At 38.9% G+C, this 27,647-nt stretch overlaps 1 protein-coding gene and 1 pseudogene across 14 annotated transcripts in view, besides 1 other annotated feature; both read right to left on the reverse strand.

Annotated features, from left to right (window-relative positions):
- TBL1XR1 (TBL1X/Y related 1) overlaps positions 1–27,647 on the reverse strand; it is a 182,457-nt gene that overhangs the window by 99,130 nt on the left and 55,680 nt on the right. For 4 of the 14 annotated variants that reach the window (XM_047448949.1, XM_047448942.1, NM_001374329.1 and 1 more), the window contains exon 2: positions 12,890–12,976. The exons of the other annotated variants lie outside the window; for them this stretch is intronic. Coding sequence is in view for 2 of the 4 variants with exons in the window: in XM_047448942.1 (XP_047304898.1) it covers positions 12,890–12,901 (12 nt within the window). In the remaining 2 variants the exon portion in view is untranslated. The remainder of the gene's footprint in view (positions 1–12,889; positions 12,977–27,647) is intronic. 14 annotated transcript variants of the gene reach the window in all.
- RNU6-681P (RNA, U6 small nuclear 681, pseudogene) lies at positions 7,544–7,647 on the reverse strand (annotated as a pseudogene).
- Positions 26,068–26,362: a silencer, noted in NCBI's record as "tiled region #13561; K562 Repressive DNase matched - State 14:Gen5'". NCBI's record gives its function as "represses a minimal TATA promoter and a strong SV40 promoter by Sharpr-MPRA in K562 cells {active_cell/tissue: K562}" and the evidence as "EXISTENCE:reporter gene assay evidence [ECO:0000049][PMID:27701403]".

Consider the following 27,647-nt stretch of genomic DNA (forward strand, 5'->3'; position numbering starts at 1 on the left):
CTTCTTATACTCACCCTTTCACTGATCAAAACAAAGCCCACAACGGAAGGAAGAAGAAAGGAAATAAAAAGACAGACATTAGGAAGACTTTAAAGAGAATCCATTTGTGAATTCCCTTCTTTATGAGGCTTAGTTGCATGTAATGCTGTCAAATATCATAGTTCTTCATTCATTTAATAACTAGTTACTGAATGTGTACTATTTGCCATGCTTCATTTCAGATGCTAAGAACAACAGTCAAGAAACCACCCTGAAGTTTGTATTTTAATGGGGGAGTAGAGACAAAATGAATACATTATAATATATGGCAAGTGTCGTATTTTGTCAGTTTCTCAAACTGAACTTTTATAAAATCAAGAGATACGATTTAGCATTGTAACCATTCAGGCATATTGCCTGCAAACCAGACAGCAACTCCACATAATAACTCAAGAAAAATGGGACCTATAGAAAGTATAAGCTCATAAAAACAAAGAAAAACCTGGATAATCAGGTTTTTTTTGTTTTTTGTTTTTGAGACGGAGTTTCACTCTTGTACCCCAGGCTGGAGTGCAGTGGCATGATCTCGGTTCACTGTAACCTCCGCCTCCTACGTTCAAGCACTTCTCCTGCCTCAGCATCACGGGTAGCTGGGATTACAGGCACCTGCCACCACACCCGGCTACTATTTGTATTTTTAGTAGAGATGGGGTTTCACCATGTTGGCCGGGCTGGTCTCCAAACTCCTGACCTCAGGTGATCCACCCACCTCAGCCTCCCAAAGTGCTGGGATTACAGGCGTGAGCCACCGCACCTGGCTGATAATCAGGTTTTAAAAGAAAAGAAACCACAGCAGTTCCACGGGTGAAGAATATTTACACCCTACCCAATTTGATCCTGGAACCTTTTCCACAACTTGTCATAAAATATGGTCCCATCTCTTTTATTTTTCCAATCGATGGCTGGATTCCTATATAATTAGGGCTTCTTTTGATTTTGTTTAGATAAGTAAATAGACATGAATGGTTAGGGGAAGGGGTGTTTTGAATCCTGAGGCAGAGAAACCTACATAGAATGGTTATTCATATACTGTCTTTGTTTCTTAACTGTCCCGCAACAGAAATTGTTGAAATTTGCTGAACAAACAGTGACCATTCACTACATTGTGATACACTGCTGGTCCAGATCCCAGTCTAGGCAACAACACCAATTACCAATTTTGCAGATTATTTTAGATTATACTTCTGTGACCATTTAATGTTCCTCCATGATCAACTGGCATACTTGCGTGGCTAGAAGCTCCAGAATCAACCACACGACACGAAGAAACATTCCAAAGAATCCTTGGTCCTGTGTATTGAATTAGTGCTCTATACCAACCTCACCCATTTTCTACATGGTCATTTTATTGTAATGCAACCACTGCCCTTGGTATTAGTTACTTCAAATTTCAGGGAGAAAGAGTTGGGATATCCTCCTTTTTGCTAACAGAAAGCCCTTGGGGACTCGCTCATCTAAAAATACTGCGTAAGGTGAATCTAGTTATACTCCAGCAGGTGTCTCACCAACCTTTATTTAAATAAGAGGGCCATTTTCCAACTGCATCATCTCTAAACAGCAAACATAACTATATAGAGCCTACTTCTGGAGCACAGAATTGATAACCTTAACTTCTCATTACTTTCCAACATGCACTCCTCCCTGTGATAGTATAGGTCTTTACCTCCAGTTATGCCTTCTTTAATTCGGCATTCCTGTTCTAATGGCTTTCCCTTTTCCTCTTCTCCTATCTAGAGGCTGTCTACCTTTCAAGATGCAGATGACCTCCTTCCTGATGAAAGCTTTCTCTTACTACTCTGTCTTACCAGGATGTTTCTAAAGAATGCTGATAACATACCAGTCATTTTATAGTGTTAGAGAACAAGGTCTAGACAGGTTAAATAACTTACCCCAAATCATACAACCAGCTAATGGCAAAGGCTGGACTACAACCCAGACCTTCAAACTCTAATTCCCAAGAGTCTTCTAACTTCCTCACTCTAACATTATTTCCCACACTAATCTGACTACGTTCCCTTACACTTAAGATTTTCCAGTGGATACTCTACACCTAGATATTTTATCCAAAGTCAATCCATCCTTAAAATCAAAGGTCACGTGCAATCTTTTCCACTCAAACTTCCTTTTCGCAGCTTTAACTCACTGATTTTCCTCTTTCCCAAATTTACTTTTTTTATTTTTAGACTAGTCGAGTGCAATAGTGAAAAGGGGGGCAACAGAATAGAACAAGTTCGATCTGTTACTGACTACATAATCAATTGAGTTAACTCACTACCTTCGGACCAGCTCAAATTTACAGTATTTTAATCACTATCACATAGTGTAGCATCTTTGTACTTCATGTTGTCTCATTTACTCCTAACAACTTGAAAAGACAGGAATTTACTGGTCATATTTTATACATGGCCCTAAAATGTTAACCAATTTGCTTAAATTTATACAATTATTATACAGCTACACAAAAGAGCTGAGATTTAAAGCTGTGTCACTAATCCAAAGTCTACATTCTTTAAATACTGCATACTACAATTCCTTTCTAAGAGCCAGGACTCAGGACTCCTGATTCTTGGTCCAGAATTAGTTCCATTATAACCTACGGCTTGTCATAGAATTCTAACATTTTCATTCCTATAAAATCACAGTTAAACATAATCCAAATCTTGTCCTCAGGAAACAAACATAAACTGAGGAATGTTCTTTAAAACTATCGATGTCATAAAAGACAGAATGGCTGAGGAACTATGCCAGATTAAAGTCTCAAGAAATGTGACAACTAAATTCAACATATGCAGATAACTGTTGAAGCTAACAGGATACGGTAATTCATTATTCTTTTATTATTTTCAAATTTGTCATAATAAAAATTTAAAAATAAAGTCCATTGAGAAATCTTGCTGGATGTCAATCTTTTTCTTCCCTTCCATAGCCTATCCATAGCCTATCTCCTCTAGAAATAAGTCCCAATTTGACTTCACACGCATCTTTCTTTCAAACATTAGCCTCCCTTCCAAACAATGTGCAATTTTTTTAGCCAGACTAAATTCATGCAGATTATAAATTACATGCATTAACGTTCTCTTTAAATACTAAACTCCCTGAGGGAAAAGGTCTTATCTGGTAATTAACATAAATTTTGTAGTCTAAAAGGATTAAGTAACATCTTTCATCATTGGCTCTGAGCTCCGCCTCTTTTTGGCACATGGGAAATGAAACTCACAATCCCATCGAGGCTGTTCCTTGTGAGGTTTACAGAAGGCAAGCCTGTTTCCATTAAGGCTACCTTCATGTCTGACACGTTTAGATACTGCAAGTGGTTTAGAATGTTCTTAGCTAAAGATTTAAAAAAAAAAATCCATGAAACTTCCAACTAATAAAAAGAGCCATTAATTACTGGAAACCTAGAATTACTAGAAGTCCTAGAGAGAATGGGATTGAAAGAATCACAATGCAAGAGCAACCCTCATCCCAATCCTACAAATAAATACATTTAGGATGATCCCAGCATTCCAATTAACTGATGTGAAGGTGAAACCATGAAGTGTTGAAATCTAAAGTATTAATAAGCAACGTTTTATTCTATTAATTAAAAGTACATTAATCAATAATTTCTACAATGTTGATTAATTCACCAAAATGCTGCTTCTGAGCATTACTGTCAAATTTACTTATTACTTAAGACTGTGTTTACTAAATGGAATACATTGTTAGGTACTATAGAGTACCTAACAATTAAAATATTCCCTCCTCCTCTAATACATAACTTATATAAGACAGATAAAAAAAAAAAAAAACACTGTAAGCCTGTGTCAAAGCATCTAGGAATTCAGTTAAGAATGTCACGCCTGATTGGGGTCATAGAAGAGGTGATGTAATAGAACTAAGAGAAGAGCATCAAGAAGTTCAGCATGTACCCTGAAAATTGCAAAGTAATGACCGAAATCCCTTAACATTATCATGAGATCTGCCTCTAACACAGATGTCAAATTTTACTCTATACCTCTTGTGCACTTGAAGAAAGATATCTGACCTAAAATACTGCAAGTCCACCAACAACTGAAGCCACATTGTTGGAAATTCAGTTTTACTGGGCTAGCTTTCATAATGTTATTAAAGTCGAGTGTGAGGAAAAGCAGAGTTCTTGGATCAATGGCTTCTAGCAGATAGGGCTAAATAAGGCAGTTGCAAAGAGCAACAGGTTCTTTAAACAGTGGAGATAGCTGCAAATCAAAGCACAGAAGATCACATAAGTGCAGAAAAGACTCATGATTAAATATTAGTCGTTTCAGGCTCATCCACAAATACCAAACAATGAGCATCAACAGTATCTTTATCTTCCAACTCCAACAGTGTTTTAATAATGTGGCTTATTACAGTTGAATGTGGAGGTACTTTTTAGCACAATGAATCCCTCTCTAAATTCAAGTAATAGAACTGTTAAACATTATGAAAAAAGTCAGCCACAGAAAACCAAACATCATGAGCAATATTCTCCCCACATTTTGTCTTGTGTCGCACACATGTGTCTTGTATCTTTTAATTGAGAGGAGGGGAAATAGAAGTCTTTTGCTAACTCCTATAAGAAATCTGCAGAGAAACCTGTGAACAGCAGCAATCTTTAAGTGGTCCATTCAAAAACAGACAAAAAGAAAATCTTGATTAGTATATTGTAATAGTTTTTTTAAAAATGTACAGTAACTTCAAGAGAGAACTCATATCATACTAAAAACAGTATTTACCTTCCTAATCATAAAGTACATACATTAACAAAAGTTTAAAATTCAAGCCTTAAAAAGTTATATAACATCTTCATATTAATTGATTTACATCACTCATTGAGCATACCTACACCAACATCACTGATAAGAAGCTTTCATTTGGAGCCAATTATTTCCAACCAAAGAGATTCAGACTATGCTCAAATCTTTAACAGAGAAAACCCCTACAATTGGGCAAACAAGATAAATATTTTAAACATGGAAGAGGCTAAGCTCAAAAAGGTTTTCCTATTTAAAAGATTATTCCAAAAATCTCACTTCAAAGAAAAAAGATACCTAATTTTCTCATGCTTCCAATTCTGCTTTAATATTTTACTTTGAAGTTTCAGAGCATTATAGCTAAAAGATTCTCAAAATATTCTGACTGAAAACCAGGTGACTGAATTCATTCATTTGCCTCAATCAGATTATATAATCAGATTTTTCCAAACCTTAAAACATATGATTCAAACATACCCATCAAAAAGTACAAATACGCACTAGTACATTTTCTCCTGAGTACATTTTGAACAATCTACTCAAGTGGATCATTTACAAAATAAGAACATAATTCCCTGAATCAGTAAATTTTATTTTCATGAAAGGATGACAAAGAAATTCCATTTACACTATCACGATTTACATTTTCCTACAATTCATGCAGCTTTCTTCAATTCACAATCTACAAACCACAACAATGCACAAATTTGATGTTAGAGGATACTTTAATGTTTAGTTCTCATCTCAACAGTCACTGTTGCTAGTGTCTCTCATTCTCACTCTTCACTGTTACTTAAAGAACAAAGAACTAAAGAAGCCAGAAAGAACTAGATCAAGCGATGAGACCAATTTTCAGGGTAAGGCATAATAACATTAGCTAATCAAAAACTGGAGTATTTCTATCATTTAATCCTGCAAGACAATACCTCCTGTTTTCCCTCACTTTCCTTCCAATAACTTGACAGAAGTCTGGGGAAGGATGGATCCCAAGCAGAAAACCTTCACAAATGTGAAAGAAAATGGAAATCCTAGCATAGTCACATGACTAACTAGAAATCCCAGAACTCTGTCAACAACCTTTGTTTTCAATGCAGAAATCATTTCTGTACTTTTAATGACCCATCATTCAACCTCACTTGAGCTCCTCCAATAATTGGCACTACTTTACCAAGTTATTAGACAGTTCTATTAGTAATTATTTGAAAAATCATTCTTCTCTATGATTCAAATATGTCTAACTATTAACTATTTCTTACGTGCTATAGGGCTAAATAAACAAACTCCTCAGCTTTAAATGAAAATCTTCAGCTACTGGAAGGCCTTTCTCCCATTCTCTCATTCTCATTTAAAAAATGTGTGACCTATCAATTTCAAAAACCTATTCCAGTTTCTCCTTAAAGACTCCTAAAAGGGAACACAGTGCTTAACTCACGGCATCTTTTTCTTCAATACTTAATAAGTTTATTCTCTTAATTGACAATGCAATGAGAATAGTAAAACTCAAAATCTCAACTGCTAGTAAGATCTAGAAAGTCTAGATAAAAATTCATAAAAATCTGTCACTGTAACTGAGGCTGACAAATGGTGTTACGACAACTGAACAGCTAAATGCAAAAGAAATGAATTTAGAACCCTACTTCACACCATATAAAAAATTATCACAAACTGGGTTATAGAACTAAGAGCTAAAACTCTGAAACACTTAGAAGAAAACATACAGGTCAATCTTTATGACCTTGGATTAGGCAATGGTTTCATAGATATGCCACCAAGAGTACAAGAAACAAAAGAAAAAAACAATAAACTGAGATCATAGAAATGTAAAACATTTTCATTTCAAAAGACAACATCAAGAAAGTGAAAACCCACAGAACAGGACAAAAGTTGTGTAAATCATATCACAGATATGAATCATAACATTTGCATCCAGAATATATGAAATACTACAACTCAATAAAAGACAAGCCAATTTTGAAATCTGAACAGATACCCCAAAGAGTAAAATACAAACGGCCAATAAGCATATGAAAATACGCTCAACATCACCAGCTATCAGGAGAAATGCAGAACAAAATCACAATGAGGTGCCATTAGGATGGCAATCAACAAAAAAACAGTGATAAGGGTTGACAAGGATATGAGAAAGATGAGAAACTGAAACCCTCATTCACTGCTGGTGGAAATGCAAAATGCTGCAGTCCTTTGGAAAACAGTCTGGCCGTTCCTCAATTATTAGCATTTAATTAGAAATAATGAATTAACAGGATTTTAAAAAACATTTAGTATAAAACTGACAAGTGTCTTTTTTATTTCACAAGAATGAAAAATATACATCAGGACATGTTTCATATATGAATATATATATAACCAACGACTACAATAACTCATTTTTAAATTCTAGGAGGCAATAAAACAGCCAGTATACTTGACGTGCCATGGAGAAGTGCTGGCAATTTTCTTTATGATTCACTAAGACAATTAAAATAGCTCATTTATTTATTCAATTTCCAAGTTTTCAAATTTCCAAGTAAAAAAATTACCCTCCAAACTGACAAAGATTTTATATTTCAAATAGTAAGCTAAGGAATGACTTTTAATCAAATTATGGAATGGGCTATTAATCATTATTAGCCAATACAGTTGATACAGATACCACATTTCTTTTGTTTTTAATTTTTTGGAGTACACAGTAGGTGTATATATTTATGAAGTACACAAGACATTTTGATACAGGCATGCAGTGCGTAATAAAAAATATGAAACACTTTGTAAAACTGTGTGTCATCCTTGTGCAGGGGACATGCTAATCTTTGTATCATTCCAATTTTAACATATGTGCTGCCAAAGTGAGCATCAGTTACCGCATTTTTAAAAAGGTAGTCATTAAGTAGAAGTGGCTCTGTCAAAATAAGACCTGTTAAAGCACAGGGTGCTGAATCCCACACCACTTTCTGACTCAACGGCTAGATATGGGATTCAGCCAAGAATCTGCATTTCCAACAAGTTAGCAGGAGATGTTGATGCTGCCAAGGATCACACTTTGAGAACTACAATACTATGCTGAATCATCTAACACAACAATATTCTTTTTAAGACCAAAAAATGGTAATATTAATAATCCAATCATTTGTTAAACATCGGTTATGTAATAAAATTAAGATACATCAGAGAAGCTTTAAATCATCAGGACTTTCCCAGTGTTGTTTGCTCCAATTAGTACATCTTCTACTAATATGTCCATAAGATGCCTTTCAAGTCCTACATCCATGAAGCCTTCTGATTCCTCCAGCTAGAAATAACTGCTTATTCCTTTGAACCTAAGTCATCACTTGTAACACCCATAAAATACTGCCAACTTGTATTACTTGTTCAGCTATTCACATTCAAGACTTTCTCACCTACTAAACTAAGTTCCATGGTAGCCTACTAACAAGCATTTTCATATCCCTCAGAATTCTTGGCACTGGCTCTCCATAAATATTCAATAAATATGTCTTTAGCAAATAATTAAAATCAATATATCCTTGATTTCATCCCCCATTTTCAGCCAAAAAAAAAAAAAGGGCACAAGTCAAGCTTTTACAGAGAAATGCCCAAATCAAATCCTTTTCAAGTGACTGTACATAATGTACGGTTGTAATATTTAACCATCTAAGTTTAGGCTTAAGGAATAAGAGCATTAGAATGGCAGTTTTAGCAAAACCCAGTTTCAGCAAAAACAACATTCAGTTGGTGAACTAACCTACAGTTCTCTTCTCATAAAATGCGTTCAACAATACAAAAGTTTGATTGTTTTAAAGAGTAATCTGCCACAGATTATAATCAATGTGGAACCTGCTGCCCAAGTATAATTCTTTCCATAATGTATTATTACATTAAAAAACCCTTTGTGTTATTCTATGTATCTCAACATACTGCCACCTGACCTACATACAGAAGCTCAACTTGTATATCTAGTTCCCAAGTCCCTTGAGTCATTTCTTTTATGGTATCTCTAACATCATATAAAACAGCACAGAATTGCAACATCTTAAAAGTGTTTAAAATTATCTGTAATTCTCAGTATCATTAAAAATTCTTCTACGATATAACTCCTTCTACTATCCTTTCATCTGTCTGCCCTTTATAGAGTGTGAAGAAAAAAAGAACACAGGGGACCTAATGTTATTTATCTCCAAAACCTAAAAACACAGTATCTGGTATAGCAGGTGCTCAAGAAACACTTTGGATTGCAATCATTGTTGTTACTTGCTATCTTGTATACTATTCTTCACACAGCTCATTAGACTACTAGTATCAACATCTGGCAATTTAGGGAAGACCTGAGATCTATAACAGCTGCAGATCAAGTCCTAAGTACAAGAAAAGGGTATCAAACATGCAGTTCTATTTAATCTTCAATGGACCTGAAAGTTAGAAGAGACAAGGAAGAATTCACTGTCTGAAACACTATTGAGTCACTTTAAGGAGTTTGGGAGGTTTTTTGTTTAAACATATACCGGCAGTTCACATTTTGGATGGTAGTGTGGGAATGTAAAAATCACCAAGATTTGAAACTGAACAAGGTGATCTTAATCAGTGTGAATTGTTCCATTACTTTAAAAACTTGGTCAAGATATTAAAAACATTTACTATCAGTTATCAACGTATAATCAAAACATTGTAAAACGGGCCGGGCGCAGTGGCTCACGCCTGTAATCCCAGCACTTTGGGAGTCCGAAGCAAGCAGATCACTTGAGGTCAGGAGTTCGAGACCAGCCTGGCCAACATGGTGAAACCCCCATCTCTACTAAAATGCAAAAATTAGTTGGGCGTGGTGGTGCACACCTATAGTCCTGGCTACTCGGGAGGCTGAGGCAGGAGAATCACCTAGACCCAGGAGGTGGAGGCTGCAGTAAGCCAAGATCACACCACTGCACTTCAGCCTGGGTGACAGAACAAGACTCCGTCTCAGGAAAAAAAGACAAAAAAAAAATCATTCTTTTAGTACACTGTAATTTAAAACATTAGAACCGATGTGAACTGTTTTATTTCTTGGTAAATGGCTTATTGAGAACTTTGAATAGCAACTTTTGTTCTCATATAACTTATGACACAGAGAGCAAGCATCTTTTCTGCTTTTTTGGAGACAGGGTCTTTCTCTGTCATCCAGGCTGGAGTGCAGTGGCACAAACACAGCTCCCTGCAGCCTGGATCTCTCAAGCTCACGCGATCATCTCACCTCAGTCCCCCAAGTAGCTAGGACAACAGATGCATCCCACCACGCCTGGTTAATTTTTGTATTTTTAGTAGAGATGGGGTTTTGCCATGTTGCCCAGGCTGATTGAGAACTCCTGAGCTCAAGCAATCTGCCCCCGTCGTCCTCCGAAAGTGCTGGGATTACAGGCGTGAGCCACCGTGCCCAGCCTGAGCCACCAAACTTGGCCACTTATGACACAGAGCAAATATCTTTTCTATTTCTTGGGGAAATTTCTTGGGGCATTTTCACACAACTCTCTAAAGCTTCTAACATTTTATCCTTGAATGTTGAATGTCATGAAATATCTCTGATAGAGTTCCTTTATTGTGAAGTTTTTGGCCAGTGACACTTCCTATGAGGCCATCGTCTTTTTCATCACAGCCACTTTCCTCATTTATGTCCATAAATTCACCTTCACTAAGTTTCTCCAGCTGCAGATTCTCGCAACACTCTCCCCATCAGCTATTTCTTCTATAACTCCACTTACACGTGATTCAAATTTCATGTTCAGCACGGTCATTTTTAGAGGTGGTTTTTGCACTTTAATCTTTGATGACATTAAAGTGTAATCTAAGGGCTATGGGATGCTCAAAAGACAGTAGGCCCACAGGAAAAAAACAAGTAATTGAGAAAAAAGGTAAATGGCCACAAAAAATTGTATTATACTTTTTTTAAAAATCCTTTATGGCAAGAACTATCATATGCAAAATCAAAAGCAGGACTAGATGAAGAAAACAATTACAACTCATATCTGAGACAATCAGCTTCCTTTACATGTAACGAGATCCAGAAGAAAATGATTCCCTACTCAAGGATACAGAATGTAAACAGCTTACAGAAAATAAAAATTTTAAAGCTTAAAACATTAAAAAGTGCTCAACCTCCTTGCAAGAGAAATGCAAATTAAGATTTCACTGAGAACTTCTGATACGATTTGGATGAATCTCAGTAAAATAAATCTCTTATAATGCTGAGAAAAACAAGCCATAAACAAGAGCACACACTGTATGTTTATATGAAACACAAGAATAATGAATAGATACTTTAAGTCAGGATAATGGTTACCTTTCCAGAGGCTGGGGATAGAGTAATGACTGGTATAGTGGTTACACAGGTTTGTCCAATTTGTGAACTTCACCATCTGTAGTCTGTACCTTTTAATGTATTCTGCATATCATAATGAAAAGCATATCTTAAAAAAAAAGTACAAGATACCGTTCTTTATCCACCAGTTTGGCAAAGATAAGAAGTTTTATAACACTCTATAGTGTTATAACACACACTGGTGGTAGAAATATCAATAACTACAACCTCCATGAAGACAACCTGGCAGTGAAATTTAAAAATGCACATATCCAGCAGGGTGCAGTGGCTCACGCCTGTAATCCCAGCACTTTGGGAGGCCGAGGCAGGCAGATCACCTGAGGACAGGAGTTTAAGACCAGCCTGGCCAACACGCCAAACCCGTGTCTGTACTAAAAATACAACAATTAGCTGGGCGTAGTGGCGTGCGCCTGTAGTCCAAGCTACTCAGGAGATGGAGGCTGGAGAATCGCTTGAACCCAGGAGGCGGAGGTTGCAGTGAGCCGAGATCACGCCACTGCACTCCAGCCTGGGCGACAGACTGAGACTCCATCTCAAAAAAAAAAAAAAGAAAGAAAGAAAAAGAATAAATAAATACAATAAAAATGCACATATCCTTTGACCGTGAAATTCTACTGTGGGGAACTTATTCATCAAAACGTTTGCACACATGCAAAATAACTTATATACAATGTTATTCATTGCTGCATTATAAAAAGAAACAACCAATTCTCCATCAACAGGGGCCTGGTAAAATTATAATAAAGTATTATTCAGTCAAAAACAACAACAACAACAAAAACAAAACAAGAAACTCTTCAGATATCGATTTGGGAATGATCACCAGGAAAGACAGTTAGGCAATAAAAGCAGTGCATATAATATTCTACAACGTTTTTGGGAAATACATTGGGAGACAGCATATTACGTACTTTTCTGTATATAGTAACATCATCTCTGGAAGGACACATAAAAAACTAATAATACCCGTCACTCCAGAGAGGTGAACCAAGTGGCTAGGGGACAGATGTGGAAAGGTTTTTTGCTGTATACACTTTTGTACTTTTTAAATTTTGAACCATATAAAATGCTCAAGTGTTCAAAACAAGTTAACAAGTTAAAAAAATAATTACCTGAAAGGGAGGCAAAAACAGACCTGTAAAGAGATTATCAAAGCCCAGACTAAAACAATTGTTAACTCCTCAGAAAAGGTCCATCTAGAAATGTTTTGAAAGAAAAGGCCACCATATTTGGGGTTTAGAGGTACTGTGAAATTGGTTAAATTACTGAGCCGGACACAGAGGCTTGCACCTATAGTCCCAGCTGCTTGGGAGGCTGAGGTTAAGAGGATTGTTTGAGACAAGGGAGTTAGAGACCAGTCTGGGCAACATAGCAAGACCCTGTCTCTAAAATAAAAAATTTTAAAACGTACTGAGGCTTATCACGCAGTCAGTAGCACAATGGCAACAGAAACTAGGTTTCAGAGAATATATTGAGAACTTCTTCAGCAAATCGGGAATCCATGTCAAGCACAATGGCAACAGAAACTAGGTTTCAGAGAATATATTGAGAACTTCTTCAGCAAATCGGGAATCCATGTCAAGCGTAGGAGACACTTCAAAGAGAACATACTGAATGCCTAACTCTTCATTCAAAGACACATAGCAACACACACAAAAAAAGTCAAAAGCTATTTGCCTAATCATAAAGACCCTTAAGAGAGAGTCCAGGAAAAATAAAGAAATAGCAAGATGGGAAAGAGAATCACACTCACTTTTACACCCATTCCTTAACACTCACTGCCTCCTGAGCTCAATACTGCATAAAGTGCCTGGTCTTCCAAAGATACTTATTCCCACACCTAAAAGTTGAGAAAACAAAAAAAAACTAAATTAAAAAAACACATTGTCATTCTGAATATCTTTTTTTTTTTTTTTTTTGAGACAGAGTCTCACTCCGTTGCCCAGGCTGGAGTGCAGTGGCGTGATCTCGGCTCACTGCAAGCTCCGCTTCTCAGGTTCAAGTGATTCTCCCGCCTCAGCCTCCCAAATTACAGGCATGTACCACCATGCCCGGCTAATTTTTGTATTCTCAGTAGAGACAGGGTTTCACCATGTTGGCCAGGCTGGTCTTGAACTCCTGGCCTCGAGTGATCCACTCTCCTTGGTCTCCCAAAGTGCTAGGATCACAGGCGTGAGCCACCATACCCGGCCCTGAATATCCTTTGTCAAATCTTAAAACACATTAACGAATTCATCACATCTTCCAATAAAGACAAGATTCCTGCTCTACTGGCATTTACATTCTAGTGGAAGTTTAAAAAAAAAAAAAAAAAAGGAAACACAAAGCACTCTGATTGTTAACCCCAGAAGGCTGGAACTGTCCTGTGTACATTCCTGAAATAAGAGAGGTAATGGCATGGCACTGATACCTGGTCAAAGTACCAAACATACTGATTAATAATGTTGCTCTGAAACCATGAATCCCAAGAGCTATGGCCTGTCTGTACCGGCTTGTCAGCATTGTTTACTGTTAACAGTGAGACTGATGGTTTGCACCTGGTTTTCGTGAGCCCCTTGAGGTTTCTGCCATTAAGGCTGGTTATGTAGCAAAAATATGCCTATGTGGCCAGCAGGAATATAAGCCCCACTGAGATTCCACTATGGGATCCCTGGTTCCAAGGTGTTCTCTGCGCACATCAGTGATCCTGATCCAAGAAAGAAAGATATCCATATGGCCCTACAGAAGGGGGACAATTGAACCTCACACTTAGCTCCTTCAGGTCCACTGATGGGAGGCACCCTTTGCTTGTGATGTGCAACCTAACTTGAAAGCACTTGCTTTAAGTATCGTTTTTCAGCAATAAACCACAGATTGATGAGCACTGTTACTTTGGATCATGTGACTTTTCTTTAGCAATCAAACCTTGTCCAACTGCCACTGTTAACAGAGATGGGGGGAAAGAAAGGTTAACAGATTGTAATAACAGTGGTTAAAAAAATAAAACCGAATGATACGATAGTGGAAAGTCATAGAGACAAAATGGGATTAGAGAACATGGCCAGGAAAGGAGATGGGGAACATGAAATGAGGTACAAATGACAAGAATCCAACAAAGTGACAACCAGGGATAGGCTCTAAGGAAAGAACAAGTTTGATTCCCACAAAAGTAAGGGTGGCTACAGAGTGGCAAGCAATAAACAAATGGCAGGAAATTAAATCAGAGGCAGGCAGGGGCAGATCACAGAGAGCCTTATGAATTCAGATTTCCACCCAATAGCTTTCTTACTGTTCTTGATGCCTGTAACTGCTCACACCGCCCTTCACCCTCACCTCAACAATACATATACTACCCTCCAGAATGAATGCTCTGAGATAAATACAATCATATAATTTCACTACTTAAAATAAATGAATCGGCCAGGTGCGGTGGCTCACGCCTGGAATCCCAGCACTTTCAGAAGCCAAGGCAGGAGGATTACCTGTCAGGAGTTTGAGACCAGCCTGGCCAGCATGGCCAAACCCCATCTCTACTAAAAATACAAAAAACTAGCCGGGCATGGTGGCGCACATCTGTAATCCCAGCTACTCAGGAGGCTGAGGCACAAGAATAGCTTGAACCTGGGAGGCAGAGGCTGCAGTGAGCTAAGATTGCGCCACTGCACTCCAGCCTGGGCAACAAGAGCAAAACTCTGTCTCAAAAAATAAAAAATAAATAAATAAAATAAATAAACGAATCCACAATCCTTGGATTGACATTATCTGTATTTACCACCCCCTGACAATATGGCATAGTTTCAAGATATACATCCTGAGCTTTCATTGCACATTGCATCAAAGTTCTGCTCACTTTTTACACCAGGTGTGTGCCCAATAAACACAATCTATACTAGGCATGATTAACAGTCATACATATCTTCTCTCTGGAGTTGGACTATAATAATACACTCATATGCAGACACACAGAAGTAACACTACATGTTATTCTACATAATAATATACGCATACATGCACAGAAGTAACACTCTATGCACTAGGTGTGGTGGCTCACACCTGTAATGCCAACACTTTGAGAGGCGGAGGCAGATGGATCATTTGAGGTCAGGAGTTCGAGACCAGCCTGGCCAACATGGTGAAACCCCATCTCTGCTAAAAATACAAAAATTAGCTGGGCATGGTGGCACACACCTGTAAGCCCAGCCACTCGGGAGGGTGAAACAGAGGTTGCAGTGAGCCAAGATCGCGCCACTGCACACCAACCTGGGCGAAAGAGTGAGACTCCTATCTCAAAAAAAAAAAAAAAAAAAGTAACACTCCATGTTAACACTATATATTGGACGTCTGTTGTTTTTAGTCTTCCGCTTTTGCTTTAGAGAAACTACACAGCTTCTTCTGCACAGTCTTGGGGTTTTCAATCACAGTGCCCTTTTCTTCCCCGGGCAAAGGACTGGAACATAACTCCAGCTAGGCAAATCAGACAGTCTCCTAGATACGTGAATGTAAAGAGAGAGAAATTATACAGGAAAATAATTCAAACTGATTCTTAACCACTGCCAAGTCAGCCCACTGTGATGTCTACAACCTAGATTCTTTATTCCTGTTTTTGTTAATTCAATGAACTTCCCCATCTTTCCCGTTTTTTGCTTCAGATAACTAGACTGATTCTGTTGCTTGCAAACAAAAAACCTGGAGTCAAGGAACCAAGAGTATGAAAGAGGTCACCACAAGTCACATAGCAACAAGCAGGAACCATAAATCAGAGGAAAGCCTGGTCTATTGGGAGCAGAGAGAAAGAGAGAAAACAGAATTATGGCAGAACACTAGACTTGGAAGCCTAGTACTGTTGCTACTAAGGGGAATACATGATAATTCAGTCCCTAAGAATGTGTTACATTCTATAACACATGCCAATTATCCATGAAGCCAGAAAGTGAAAACAATCAGTTATAGGCAAAACAGTACTACAATTTCCTGAAACACTTGGCTTTGCAGCTTTAAGATAATTCCGGTCTTTCCCCCTTATGTTTCCTTAAAGAAATACCCCATTTAGCTGGTGGTAATTTAAGAGACTCTGTTCCTTAAAATTTTTAAATACGGAATACATCTGTAATTTCCCTACCCTGACTGCCTCCTCTAAGTTACAATACCTCTTACATACTCTACTAACATCCACCTCACCCTGTATGGCAGTTATATCTATACGTCTCTAGTAATAACATGTTGTCTCTCTAAAAGCAAGAATAAAGTTGAATCTCAGAGCCTACTTAATAAACTAACGGGTATACAGTAAAAATAATGATGGATAATAAAAGCCTTCCAATTATTAAATATCTGTATCACTCCTGGCACTGCAAGGCTGTGTGTGTGTGTGTGTGTGTCTGTGTGTGTGTCTGTGTGTGTGTGTTTTGAGACGGCGTCTTGCTCTGTCACTCAGGCTGGAGTGCAGTGCTGTCACTCAGGCTGGAGTGCAATGATGCCATCTCTGCTCACTGCAACCTCTGTCTCCAGGTTCAAGAGATTCTCCTGCCTCAGCCTCCCGAGTAGCTGGGGTTACAGGTGCACACCACCACGTCCGACTAATTTTTGTATTTTTAGTAGAGATGGGGTTTCGCCACGTTGGCCAGACTGGTTTCAAACTCCTGACCTCAGGTAATCCACCCACCTCGGCCTCCAAAAGTGCTGGGATTACAGGTGTGAGCCACCGCACAAGGCCGCACTCTGTGTGTGTGTGTGTGTGTGTGTGTGTATACATATATATATATATATATATATATATATATATATATATATATATGTATGTATTTTTTTTTTAAGAGACGGAGTCTTGCTCTGTCGCCCAGGCTGGAGTACAGTCGTGCAATCTCGGCTCACTGCAAGCTCCGCCAGCCGGGTTCACACCATTCTCCTGCCTCAGCCTCCCGAGTAGCTGGGACTACAGGCGCCCGCCACCACGCCTGGCTAATTTTTGTATTTTTAGTAGAGACGGCGTTTCACCATGTTAGCCAGGATGGTCTCGATCTCCTGACCTCGTGATCCGCCCGCCTCGGCCTCCCAAAGTGCTGGTATTACAGGCGTGAGCCACCGCACCTGGCCCACTTTGTATATATTTCCAGTGATCACAACCAAGCTAACAAGATATTATTTCCAGCTTACAGCTGCAAAAATAAGCAACTGTAATGAAATCACTGACATCTTCCAACAAAGACAAGATTCCTGCTCTACTGGCATTTACATTCTGGTGGAAGGCTGTTTTTTTTTTAAACCATGTAAATAAAAAGCACTCTGGAGGTTAATCCCAGAGGGCTGGAATTGGCCTTCTCGGATTAACCCCAGAGTGCTTTTTATTCCTTCCCAATGAGGAAATTACCTAAAACTGTTAAGCCAGACGAACCAAGATCTACTGGAATCCAAATCTCTCCATCTTCCCTTTACTCCAATAGATCAGTATCTAAAATCAGGGGTTTTCAAACTGCAGGTCACAATCAGTTTGTGGATCGTAAAATAAATTTAGTGAGCCATATCCTTTTTTAATGAATTTAATACGAGTGCATCACATGAAAGGCAAATATTGCTTCATGAAACTAATTTCAGTTTTATATACACACATGTATAAGGCAGAGATAGGTACCTGTGAATCACAGTCCAAAAGTCCAAAAGCCATAGACAAAAGCACTGTCTGTTGTATGCACTGACATACCTCTCAATTTTTTTTTTCCTCTTATTGCCCAGGCTGGAGTGCAAAAGTACGGATCTCGGCTCACTGCAACCTCCGTCTCCCGGATTCAAGTGATTCTCCTGCCTCAGCCTCCCAAGTAGCCTCCAAGTGGCAAGCAGGCGCCAGCCACTACACCCAGCTAATTTCTGTACTTTTAGTAGAGACAGGGTTTCACCACGTTGGCCAGACTGGTCTTGAACTCCTGACCTCAAGTGATCCACCCGCCTAGGCCTCCCAAAGTGCTGGGATCGTGGGCATGAGCCACCACGCCTGGCCATCCTCTCAATTTTTAATCAAAATCCTGATGTTTAAAACATTGGAGTAGTAAAAATCTATCATAATGTCCTACATTATCAAAAATAGATAAACAGGGTTTAAAAGGCGTCACATGAAAAGGCATTTGGGGCATAAGTACCATATTTCTCCCCTGCTGAAGTGTGCCCTAAAACTACAGTGTACAACCATAATACGGCGAAGAAGAAAAAATGAACTGGCTGGTCCTGTCTTTTACTCTCTTCCCCCAGGGCTTTTACTAAATCATTTTCAAAAATGTTTCCCTGCTTTACTATGCTTCACTAAAGACAATTACTCAATATTATGAGTTTTCTGACCGTTGTCATGAGTGATTAGATAAATATCCTCCAATATATACGGTCTCTCAAAAAAGATGACCTCACTCACACGTATAACCTTATATACAGAAAAAGCACTCAGCAAGTGACGGCAAGCAATATGACAATGACTATGCATGCTTACTTCTATAACAGGCCATAAGCCCAGAAAACAGCTTTAAGCATTATGGCATACATTAAAATTAAAATGTTATGGGGGGGGAAAGATGACTGATTAATTCTTCTAAGGCACTATATACTAAAGAAGTAATGTACCTTAGAGAAAGACATGGCCCGGCATGGCATGGTGGCTTGCGCCTGTAATCCCAGCACTTTGGGAGGCCAAGACGGGGGATTGCTTGAGCCCAGGAATTCGAGACCAGCCTGGGCAACATGGCAAAACCTCATCTTTACAAAAAATACAAAAATCGTCAGGGCGTGGTGGTGTGTGCCTGTAGTCCCGGTTACTCGGGAGGCTGAGGCAGGAAGATCAACTGATTAAGCCCATGAGGTTGAGGCAGTGAGCTGTGCTCATACCACCACACTCCACTGGGTAACAGAACTCGAGACTCTGTCTCAAAATAAATACATGAATTAGTTAATTAATTAAAAATAAAATCAAACATTTTTTAAGAAGAGAGGCATGTCTGGGAACATTTACAGTCATAAATTAGCCAATTACAGTTCAAGGCAGACAAATGTATCTACTGCTCCTCCTTCCCAAGGCCCCACGCAAAATGAAGGGAAAAGATTTAAATTAAAATGAAATAAAAGGCCAGGGTCCTCGGCTCAGGCCTGTCATCCCAGCACTTTGGGAGGCTGAGACAGGTGGACTACTTGAGTCCAGGAGTTTGAGAACAGCCTGGGCAACATGGCAAAACCCCGACTCTACAGAAAAAAATAAAAATTAGCCATGAATGGTGGTGGTACCTGTACTCCTAGCTACTAGGGAGGCTAAGGTGGAAGGATCAACTGAGCCTGTGAGGTTGGGGCTGCAGTGAGCTGTGATCATACCACTGTACTCCAAACTGCATGACAGAGCAAGACCCTGTCTCAAAGATAAAATGAAACAACAGCACTGTTGCAAAGCGAGTAGATGTCACTGGATGATGATAAATTCTAAAGAATTTTGATCAGGTTGAAAGTAAAACAGACTGACAAAAAAACCCACGTTTAAGACATGAAAGGCTTTTCAAGGCCACACTAGAGAAGTTCCAAGTTATATACTAATCACAACTACAAGAAGGAAACAATGATGGTACTTCATCAGGGCACTGCATTACCCACATTCTGGACAGATGACCCCATCCTCTGACCCTGTGAACAGAGATGCTGATTGGTGGCAGCTTAAAGGTAAGGATAAAGCCAGAAAAGGAATCTCTATAAAAGGTGGGCATTCGCTGGGTGCAATGGCAAACACCTGCAATTTCGGCATTTTGAGAGGCCGAGGTGGGAGAACTGATTGAGCCCAGGAGTGTGAGGCCAGCCTGGGCAACATGGTATGACTCCATCTCCATAAAAAGTAAAAATTAGTTGGGGTGGTGGCACACTCCTGTGATCCCAGCTACTTGGGAGGCTGAGGTGAGAGGATCACTTGAGCCTCGAGGTTGAGGCTGGAGTGAGCCATGATCACATCACTGTACTCCCAGCCTGGGTGACAGAGCAAGACCCTGTCTGGGAGAAAAAAAAAGGGAGAGGGGGAAAGTGGGCATTGTTGCCAGGTAAGGCTTTCTGTGAGAGTAGCCAGGTTGGAGAGAGCAGTACAGCACAAAGATGAAGGCAACACTAGACCTCTAATGCTGAAAGAGAAATAAAAGGGGCTGGAAGCAAAAAGGGAGAAAAAGGAGGGAAAGAGGAAGGGATCTCTCACCATTTGAGTGAAATATACCAAAGCACTGCTCCTTGGAAGTACTGAAGACACCACAGTAACCCAAGAGAGCAGGGTACCATGTGCCTGCTGACTCCTCACCCATACTCCCTAGAAGGAGTACTGCTGGTCCATACCTGACCCCATTTCACAGAACCTGTCACCAAAACTACTATTCAAGAGAGAAGCCTCATAGAAAAAGAACCAATATACATACTGCAACAGAAACATACTTTAACTAACAATACTAACCAAGATGCACCAAAAATTTGCCAAAACCTAATAGTATAAAAGGTGCAAGAGGAACATACAGAAATCAGCGAACAGACAAACATATTTTAATTCTCATTAATATCCTCATAGGGACTCAAAAAACACACTGCAAGATTAAAAAACAAAATACGCCACATTTAAGAAAAAAACAAATAGCAATGGCTATTAAAAATTAGTAAAGCACTGGCCGGGTGTGGTGGCTCATGCCTGCAATCCCAGCACTTTGGGAGGCCGAGGCAGGCAGATCAGCTGAGGTCAGAAGTTCGAGACCAGCCTGGCCAACGTGGTGAAACCCTGTCTCTACTAAAAGAAAAAAGAGACAATACAAAAATTAGCTGAGAGTGCTGGCGCGCGCCTGTAGCTGCAGCTACTTGGGCGGCTGAGGCAGGAGAATCGCTTGAACTCAGGAAGTAGAGGTTGCAGTGAGCTGAGATCACACCACTGTACTCCAGCCTGGGTGACAAAGCAAGACTCCATCTCGGGGGGAAAAAAAAAAATTAAAGCATAAAAATCTCAACTGTGTAATAAAATGGGACATAACTAAACACCAAATTCATTTGCCTAGAATATAAACGTTTCCCAGAAAGTAAAGCAAAAAAACCCAAAAATATAGTTAAAAAAAAAAAGAAAAAGAAAATTTGACAATCTAGAGAGTCCAACATTTACTTACAACGTAAGACATGCAAAAGTGGAGAACAGAGAGAGATGGAAGGGGCAAGTTAAACTTTCCAAGAGCTGAAGAATGATTCAGTTGTCAAACTGAAAACACTCAACAGAGTAACATTAAAAACAAATTAAAAATACCTGTAGTAACTGGAGTCTCACCAGTAAAATTTCAGAATGCCAAGAAAGCTTCCAGAACAAAACCAGGATCACCTTAACACTCATCTTCTAATCAGAAGTAACAGGTGCTAGAAGACAATATAGCAGTGTCCACCAAGTTCTACAAGAAAAATACCTTGAAACAGCCAGGTGCGGTGGCTCACGCCTGCAATCCCAGCACTTTGGGAGGCCAAGGTGGACAGATCACCAGGTCAGGAGTTCGAGACCAGCCTGGCCAATATGATGAAACCACGTCTCTATTAAAAATACAAAAATTAGCTGGGCGTGGTGGCACACACCTGTAGTCCCAGGCACTCGGGAGGCTGAGGCAGAAGAATCGCTTGAACCCGGAGGCGGAAGTTGCAGTGAGCCAAGATGGAGCCACTGCACTCCAGCCTGGGTGACGGAGTGAGACTCCAACTCAAAAAAAGAAAAAAGTACCTTGAACGTATATTCCTATAACCCAAAGCTTCCCCAAATGCATGCTACCAACAGGTTACCAGGTGAGCAGCCAGAGGCCTTTGCTACAAGCAGTCTCATCCACCACACAAAGATTACCATTTTCTATCAATTTACGACATGAAAAAGCTTGAAAGCACTGCTGTCAAGTCAGATTTGCCACTGAGTCAAAATAAAGGCATTTTCAGACATTCAAGAACTGAAATTTTACTTATATGAAAAAACTGAAAAGGTAAAGTGGCAAAACAACAAAGAAAACACAACACGACCTGGAAGAAACAGTGGCAGCTGAGTATGAACCAGAAGTAACAAGTGAAAAAGAAAACAACAGTATACCCTTGTCACTGACAGTGGGAGATTCTCCTTTAATAACAAGTTAAATGACAGTATTATTTCCTTCCTCATAAATATAAGTAAATAATAGTCATAACAGTAATTGTTTTTCAATTTTAAAAATCATCCTACAGGAAAAAAGGAGGTTCAAAATCACGTAGTTGCAAACTCTAATCCTAGCTTGTCCAACCTGCATAAACATTCTTAAAACATTATGAGATTTTTTTGCGATTTTGTTTTCTAGCTCATCACCTATCATTAGTGTATATTATATATGGCCCAAGACAATTCTTCTTCTTCCATTGTGGCCCAGGGAAGCCAAATGACTGGACACCCCTGCTCTAATCCTTATCTTGTAAAAATAATAATATATTTAACTGGAAAAAGAAAATGTAAGGAAGAATAAATGCACTAATTTTCTCAAAGCTTTCAAATGAAATATGTCCCATAGTTAATACTGACTCTTTAGTATAATTTATCATTTAAAATAAAGCAAGCAAGAAATAAACAACTATTAACAGTGGCTGCCTCTAGAAAGCTTGGGGATGGGGGAAAAAGATCTTAGTTTTCTTCGTATCATTCTATCCTATTTGGAGATTCTGCTGCATGCATGCATTACTTTTAAATAATTTAAAAACTGATTTTGATTTCTAAAAAGTTATGGTAAGTCAGAATACCAGGTAGAAGTTAAGTAAGTCAGAATACCAAGTAGAAGTTAAGAACAAAATATATTTGTATTTACATGAATAATATTCACAATGCATTAGGTTATCAACAGAACAGTATGCATATGATCTCAAGTGTTATTAAACTACATATAAATCGTATTAAATATTTTTCACATATTTTTATATGCACCTGAAAGTGCATAAAAACACATTTGCAAGGTTACATATCGAAGTCTTAACAACAGCTGTATTTGGTGAATAGAATGAGCTCAAACTAAGAACTTTCAACATATCACTTTACAGTGTACATCTGTTCCATCTGGTTGGTTCACTCATTTTTACAATGTGTATGTATCGCATATAAAAGATAAACTGTTAGTGGACCAAAACAAAGCAGGATCTCAAAAGAGATACTTGTACACCCGTGTTCACAGCAGCACTATTCACAATAGCCGAAAGTCGGGAGCAACCAAAGTGTCCATCAACAGATAAACAAAACATGGTCTATATATACAGTGAAACATTAACCTTAAAAAGCAAGGAAATTCTGACACATGCTACAACATAGATGACTGTGAGGACGTTATGCTAAGTATATTAAGGTAGTTCATAAAAAGACAAACACTACATGATTCCACTTACATAAGGTACCTATAATACTCAAATTCATAAAGACAGAAAATAAGAATAGTGATTGCCAGTGGCTAGAGGCGAGAGGAATGAGAAGAAGTTGCTTAATGGGCACAGAGTTTCAGTTTTGCAGGATGAATACTGGAGACTGATTGTAGTGCAGGGTAGACAAGAGACAAAATTCAGGCTTAGCCCAGGAGGCTTCTTGGCTTCACCCAGGAAAGAATTCAGGGTGAACCAGTGGTGTTTGACAGCAATTTTAGTGGAAGCAGCAGCAGAAGTACTGCTCCTTGCAGAGCAGGGCTCCCCCATTAGCAGTATGACCAGAGGGCCAGCTCAGGAGCAGTTCTGTAGTCACATTTATACCTACTCTTAATTACACCTACTCTTAATTACACGCAAACTAAGGAACAGGTTCTGCAGAAATTTCTAGAAGTGGGGTAACGTCTAGGTTGTTGTCACGGAAAGGGACAGAAACTTTCAGGTGTTGCCATGGCAATGATAAACTAACATGACACTGGTGGGCATGTCTTTATGGAGAAGTGTTTTCATCTCTTCCCTGCTTCAGCTAGTCTTCACCTGGTGCAAAGTCCAAGCCCCAACTCTGGAGTCAAGTCCCGTCTCCTACCTCAGTAGGAATTTACTTAACACTATTGAACTATACATTTTTTAACAGTTAATATAGTAAATTTTTATGTCTATTTACGATTAAAATAAGTAAATTTAAGAAGCAAGTGAAATAAAAATTTAAAATAATAAATTTACAATAATAAATTAGTGGCATCAAGGGAAATACAGTCAATCCTCACCAATTCATGGATTTCACATTTATGAATTTGCCTGCTTGCACCAAAATTAATACTTGCAGCACTTTTGCAATCATATGTGGACATGCACAAAATGATGAAAAATTTGAGGTGCCCATTGTACACTTACCCACCTGAAGACAAAAAAAAGACAGCATTCTGCCTTGTTTCAGCCATCATATGGCAAACAAATGTCCTTTGGGTGGTCTATTTAGTGCCACGTTTTTGCATGTTTGTGCTTTCTGTTGGTCATTTCACTATTTAAAATAGCACTTGATCACTATGCTTAGGGCTATCTAGTATTGCTAAGTACAAAAAGGCTGCAGAGAAAATATGTGTGGGAAATAAGCTTTGTTCATATGAGTTTTAGTGCTGTTGACTCTAAATGCAATATTAATCAATCAACAATATATATTAGGAAGTTATCTTTAAACAGAAACACACAGTTACTATTGATCAGCTGACAAAAATGTTATGACCGAGGCCTACAGGAACCTAACCCTGCATATTCCCGTAGGAGCGATGCTCAGTATTTGCTAAGTCAGTGTTCAAGGCAACTATAAAGAACATAACTACAGTGAATGACAAAAATCAACTGTATCTACAAGTCAAAAAAAAAAGGGAAGGAATATTATAGGCAAAGATATTAATTTATGTCAACCACTTTAATGTGATTTTAAAACTTGTAAATGCTGTAAGTTTTTTACAGTACGTGAAGTGATGATGGGGCAGGGGGATATTTATTCCTAAATTTAAAATATTTATCAGCTAACCTTTGAAATTAAACTTTTTGTTATGTGTGAAAAGCACCTGGCTCAGTGCCTGTGCAAGTGAAAATTCAGTAAAATACTAGATTATATTTATCTCATTAAATTATTGTAACTACCATGTGAAGTAGGTAAATGAGCAAACTTTCAAGGTGATGGGAATCTGAGAATATTATCCAATTGTTTAGGTTTCAATTCAGTGAGGGTACAGCTAATTATATAAGATGGGTCTCTGATAGTTCATTCAGGCTCTAACAGAATTAAATTATCAACTGTGGTCATCTGCAATGAAGTGACTAAAGAAAACAACGCTTTGGGGAACAAGTGAGACTGGTAGAAATCTATGAAGGTCATGCCACAGATATACGAGGACAGTGGAGTGGGGATGACTGCTTCTAACAGTGTTGGAGTTAAGAAAGTGACATATTCAGGCCGGGCATGGTGGCTCATGCCTGTAATCCCAGCACTTTGGGAGGCAGGCGGATCACCTGAGGTAGGGAGTTTAAGACCAGCCTGACCAACATGGAGAAACCCCGTCTCTACTAAAAATACAAAATTAGCTGGGCATGGTGCTATATGCCTGTAATCCCAGCTACTCAGGAGGCTGGGGCACGAAAATCGCTTGAACCCCGGGAGGCGGAGGTTGGAGTGAGCTGAGATCACACCACTGCACTCCAGCCTGGGAAACAAGAGCAAAACTCCGTCTCAAAAAAAAACACAAAGTGACATATTCACAGCATAAATTTTTGACTCATGGCACTGACAAAGAAAGAGGCAGTTACTAAGTACAACATTAAAGAATCGTTCTCCATCTTAAGCCAAGGTTAGAAAACGTTTTTCTGTAAAGGGCCAGATAGTAATTCTTCCAAGGCCAAAGGTCTCTGTTGCAACTACTCAACTGTGTAGTTGTGAAGTGAAAGCAGCCATAACCTGGCCGGGCGCGGTGGCTCACGCCTGTAATCCCAGCACTTTGGGAGGCCAAGGCGGGTGGATCATGAGGTCAGGAGATCGAGACCATCCTGGCTAGCACAGTGAAACCCCATCTCTACTTTAGAAAAAAAAAAATTGGCTGGGTGTGGTAGCGGGTGCCTGTAGTTCCAGCTACTCAGAGGCTGAGGCAGGAGAATGGCGTGAACCCAGGAGGCGGAGCTTGCAGTGCGCCGAGATTGCACCACTGCACTCCAGCCTGGGCGACAGAGGGAGACTCCGTCCCAAAAAAAAAGAAAAAAAGAAAAAGAAAGCAGCCATAACCTACACATAAATTAATCAATGTGGCTGTATTTCAATAAAACTTTACACATGAAAATTTGAATTTCATGTAATTTTTAACTTGTCACAAAATAATATCATTCTTTTTTGATCTTCTTTATTCAATTATTTTAAATTATGGAAAACATTTTTAACTTGTGGATCACAAAAAAACAGGCTGGCCACATTTGGCCTGCAGACTGCAGTTTGCCAACCCCTGCTCTAAAGCTTTAAAACCAAAACTCAAATGCACAGGCTGATTTTGTTGACTGTTTAATTATAACTTCAAGTGGTACCAGGCAAGCTTAACGAACAGGAACCTAGTGGTTATCAAACTGGTTTGTCTGCAGGAACCTTGGAAAGTCCCTAAAACCGTAACATAAAGACATTCCACTATAATCCTATGTGATCTACACCAGAGGTATGAAAACTACAACCGGAGGCAAATCTGACCCACTGTGTTTTAGTAAATAAAGTTTTAATTGAACAGAAAAGCTCATTTATGTACTATTTATGGCTGCTTTAGCACTACAATGGCAGCACTGCATTGTTTTTTTCAGTGACTGTATATCTGGCTCCCTATAGAAAAAGTCTGCTAACTCCTAACCTGGGTAAACAAATATGTATGGAATACAGAGACCTGACAAGGGGGACATAAGCCACCAAGATAGAAAAATAACAGCCTCTCAAAGTTCGCAGACCCTCTAGAATAAAGGCAGTAAGGCAAGGTATCCTTTAGACAAAGCTCTATAATTACATCACAAGTACTGTGATTTCCCTCTTGGCTTTCCACAAAGATCAACAGCCCCTTACTAAGGTAACCATGTACTTGAAAAGTGAAACACCCAGACCTTTCTGGGACTATAAAAGCTAACTCTTAAATCTCTAAAAGACCCAGATAGCACCAATGTGGCACATTTGTCAGAAAGAGGAATGACAGTGGTCAAATAATAAAGTTTTGGTCAAAAGTCCATTTATCAGAGTAGATTAACCCTCCCAATTTATTGGTTATCTTCTCCAGGTGTTGAACATATAGTTGCAAAGGGCAGTCTTAGTTTTCCAACAGACAAAATTCCCATACTGATGCCATGACAGGTGGAGTTGCAGGGTAGTTTTTATCAGGAAGTCTGATGGAGATCCCAGGAGCTCTCCCTCCAAACAAAAGTAATTTGCATTCCTGAAAGAATTGTCAAAGAACTGAAAGATGCAAGGATTGCAATTCCTAGCAGGTACCTACTTAATACAACTGTCTGGCTAATACAGAAAACAAATATTTTTAGAGGATGACTGTGTTTTAATCTTAATGACTACAAGGAAGAGCTGGTATTCATAT

This window comes from Homo sapiens, chromosome 3 (genome assembly GCF_000001405.40).
Source record: "Homo sapiens chromosome 3, GRCh38.p14 Primary Assembly".
Taxonomy (NCBI): Eukaryota; Metazoa; Chordata; class Mammalia; order Primates; family Hominidae; genus Homo; species Homo sapiens.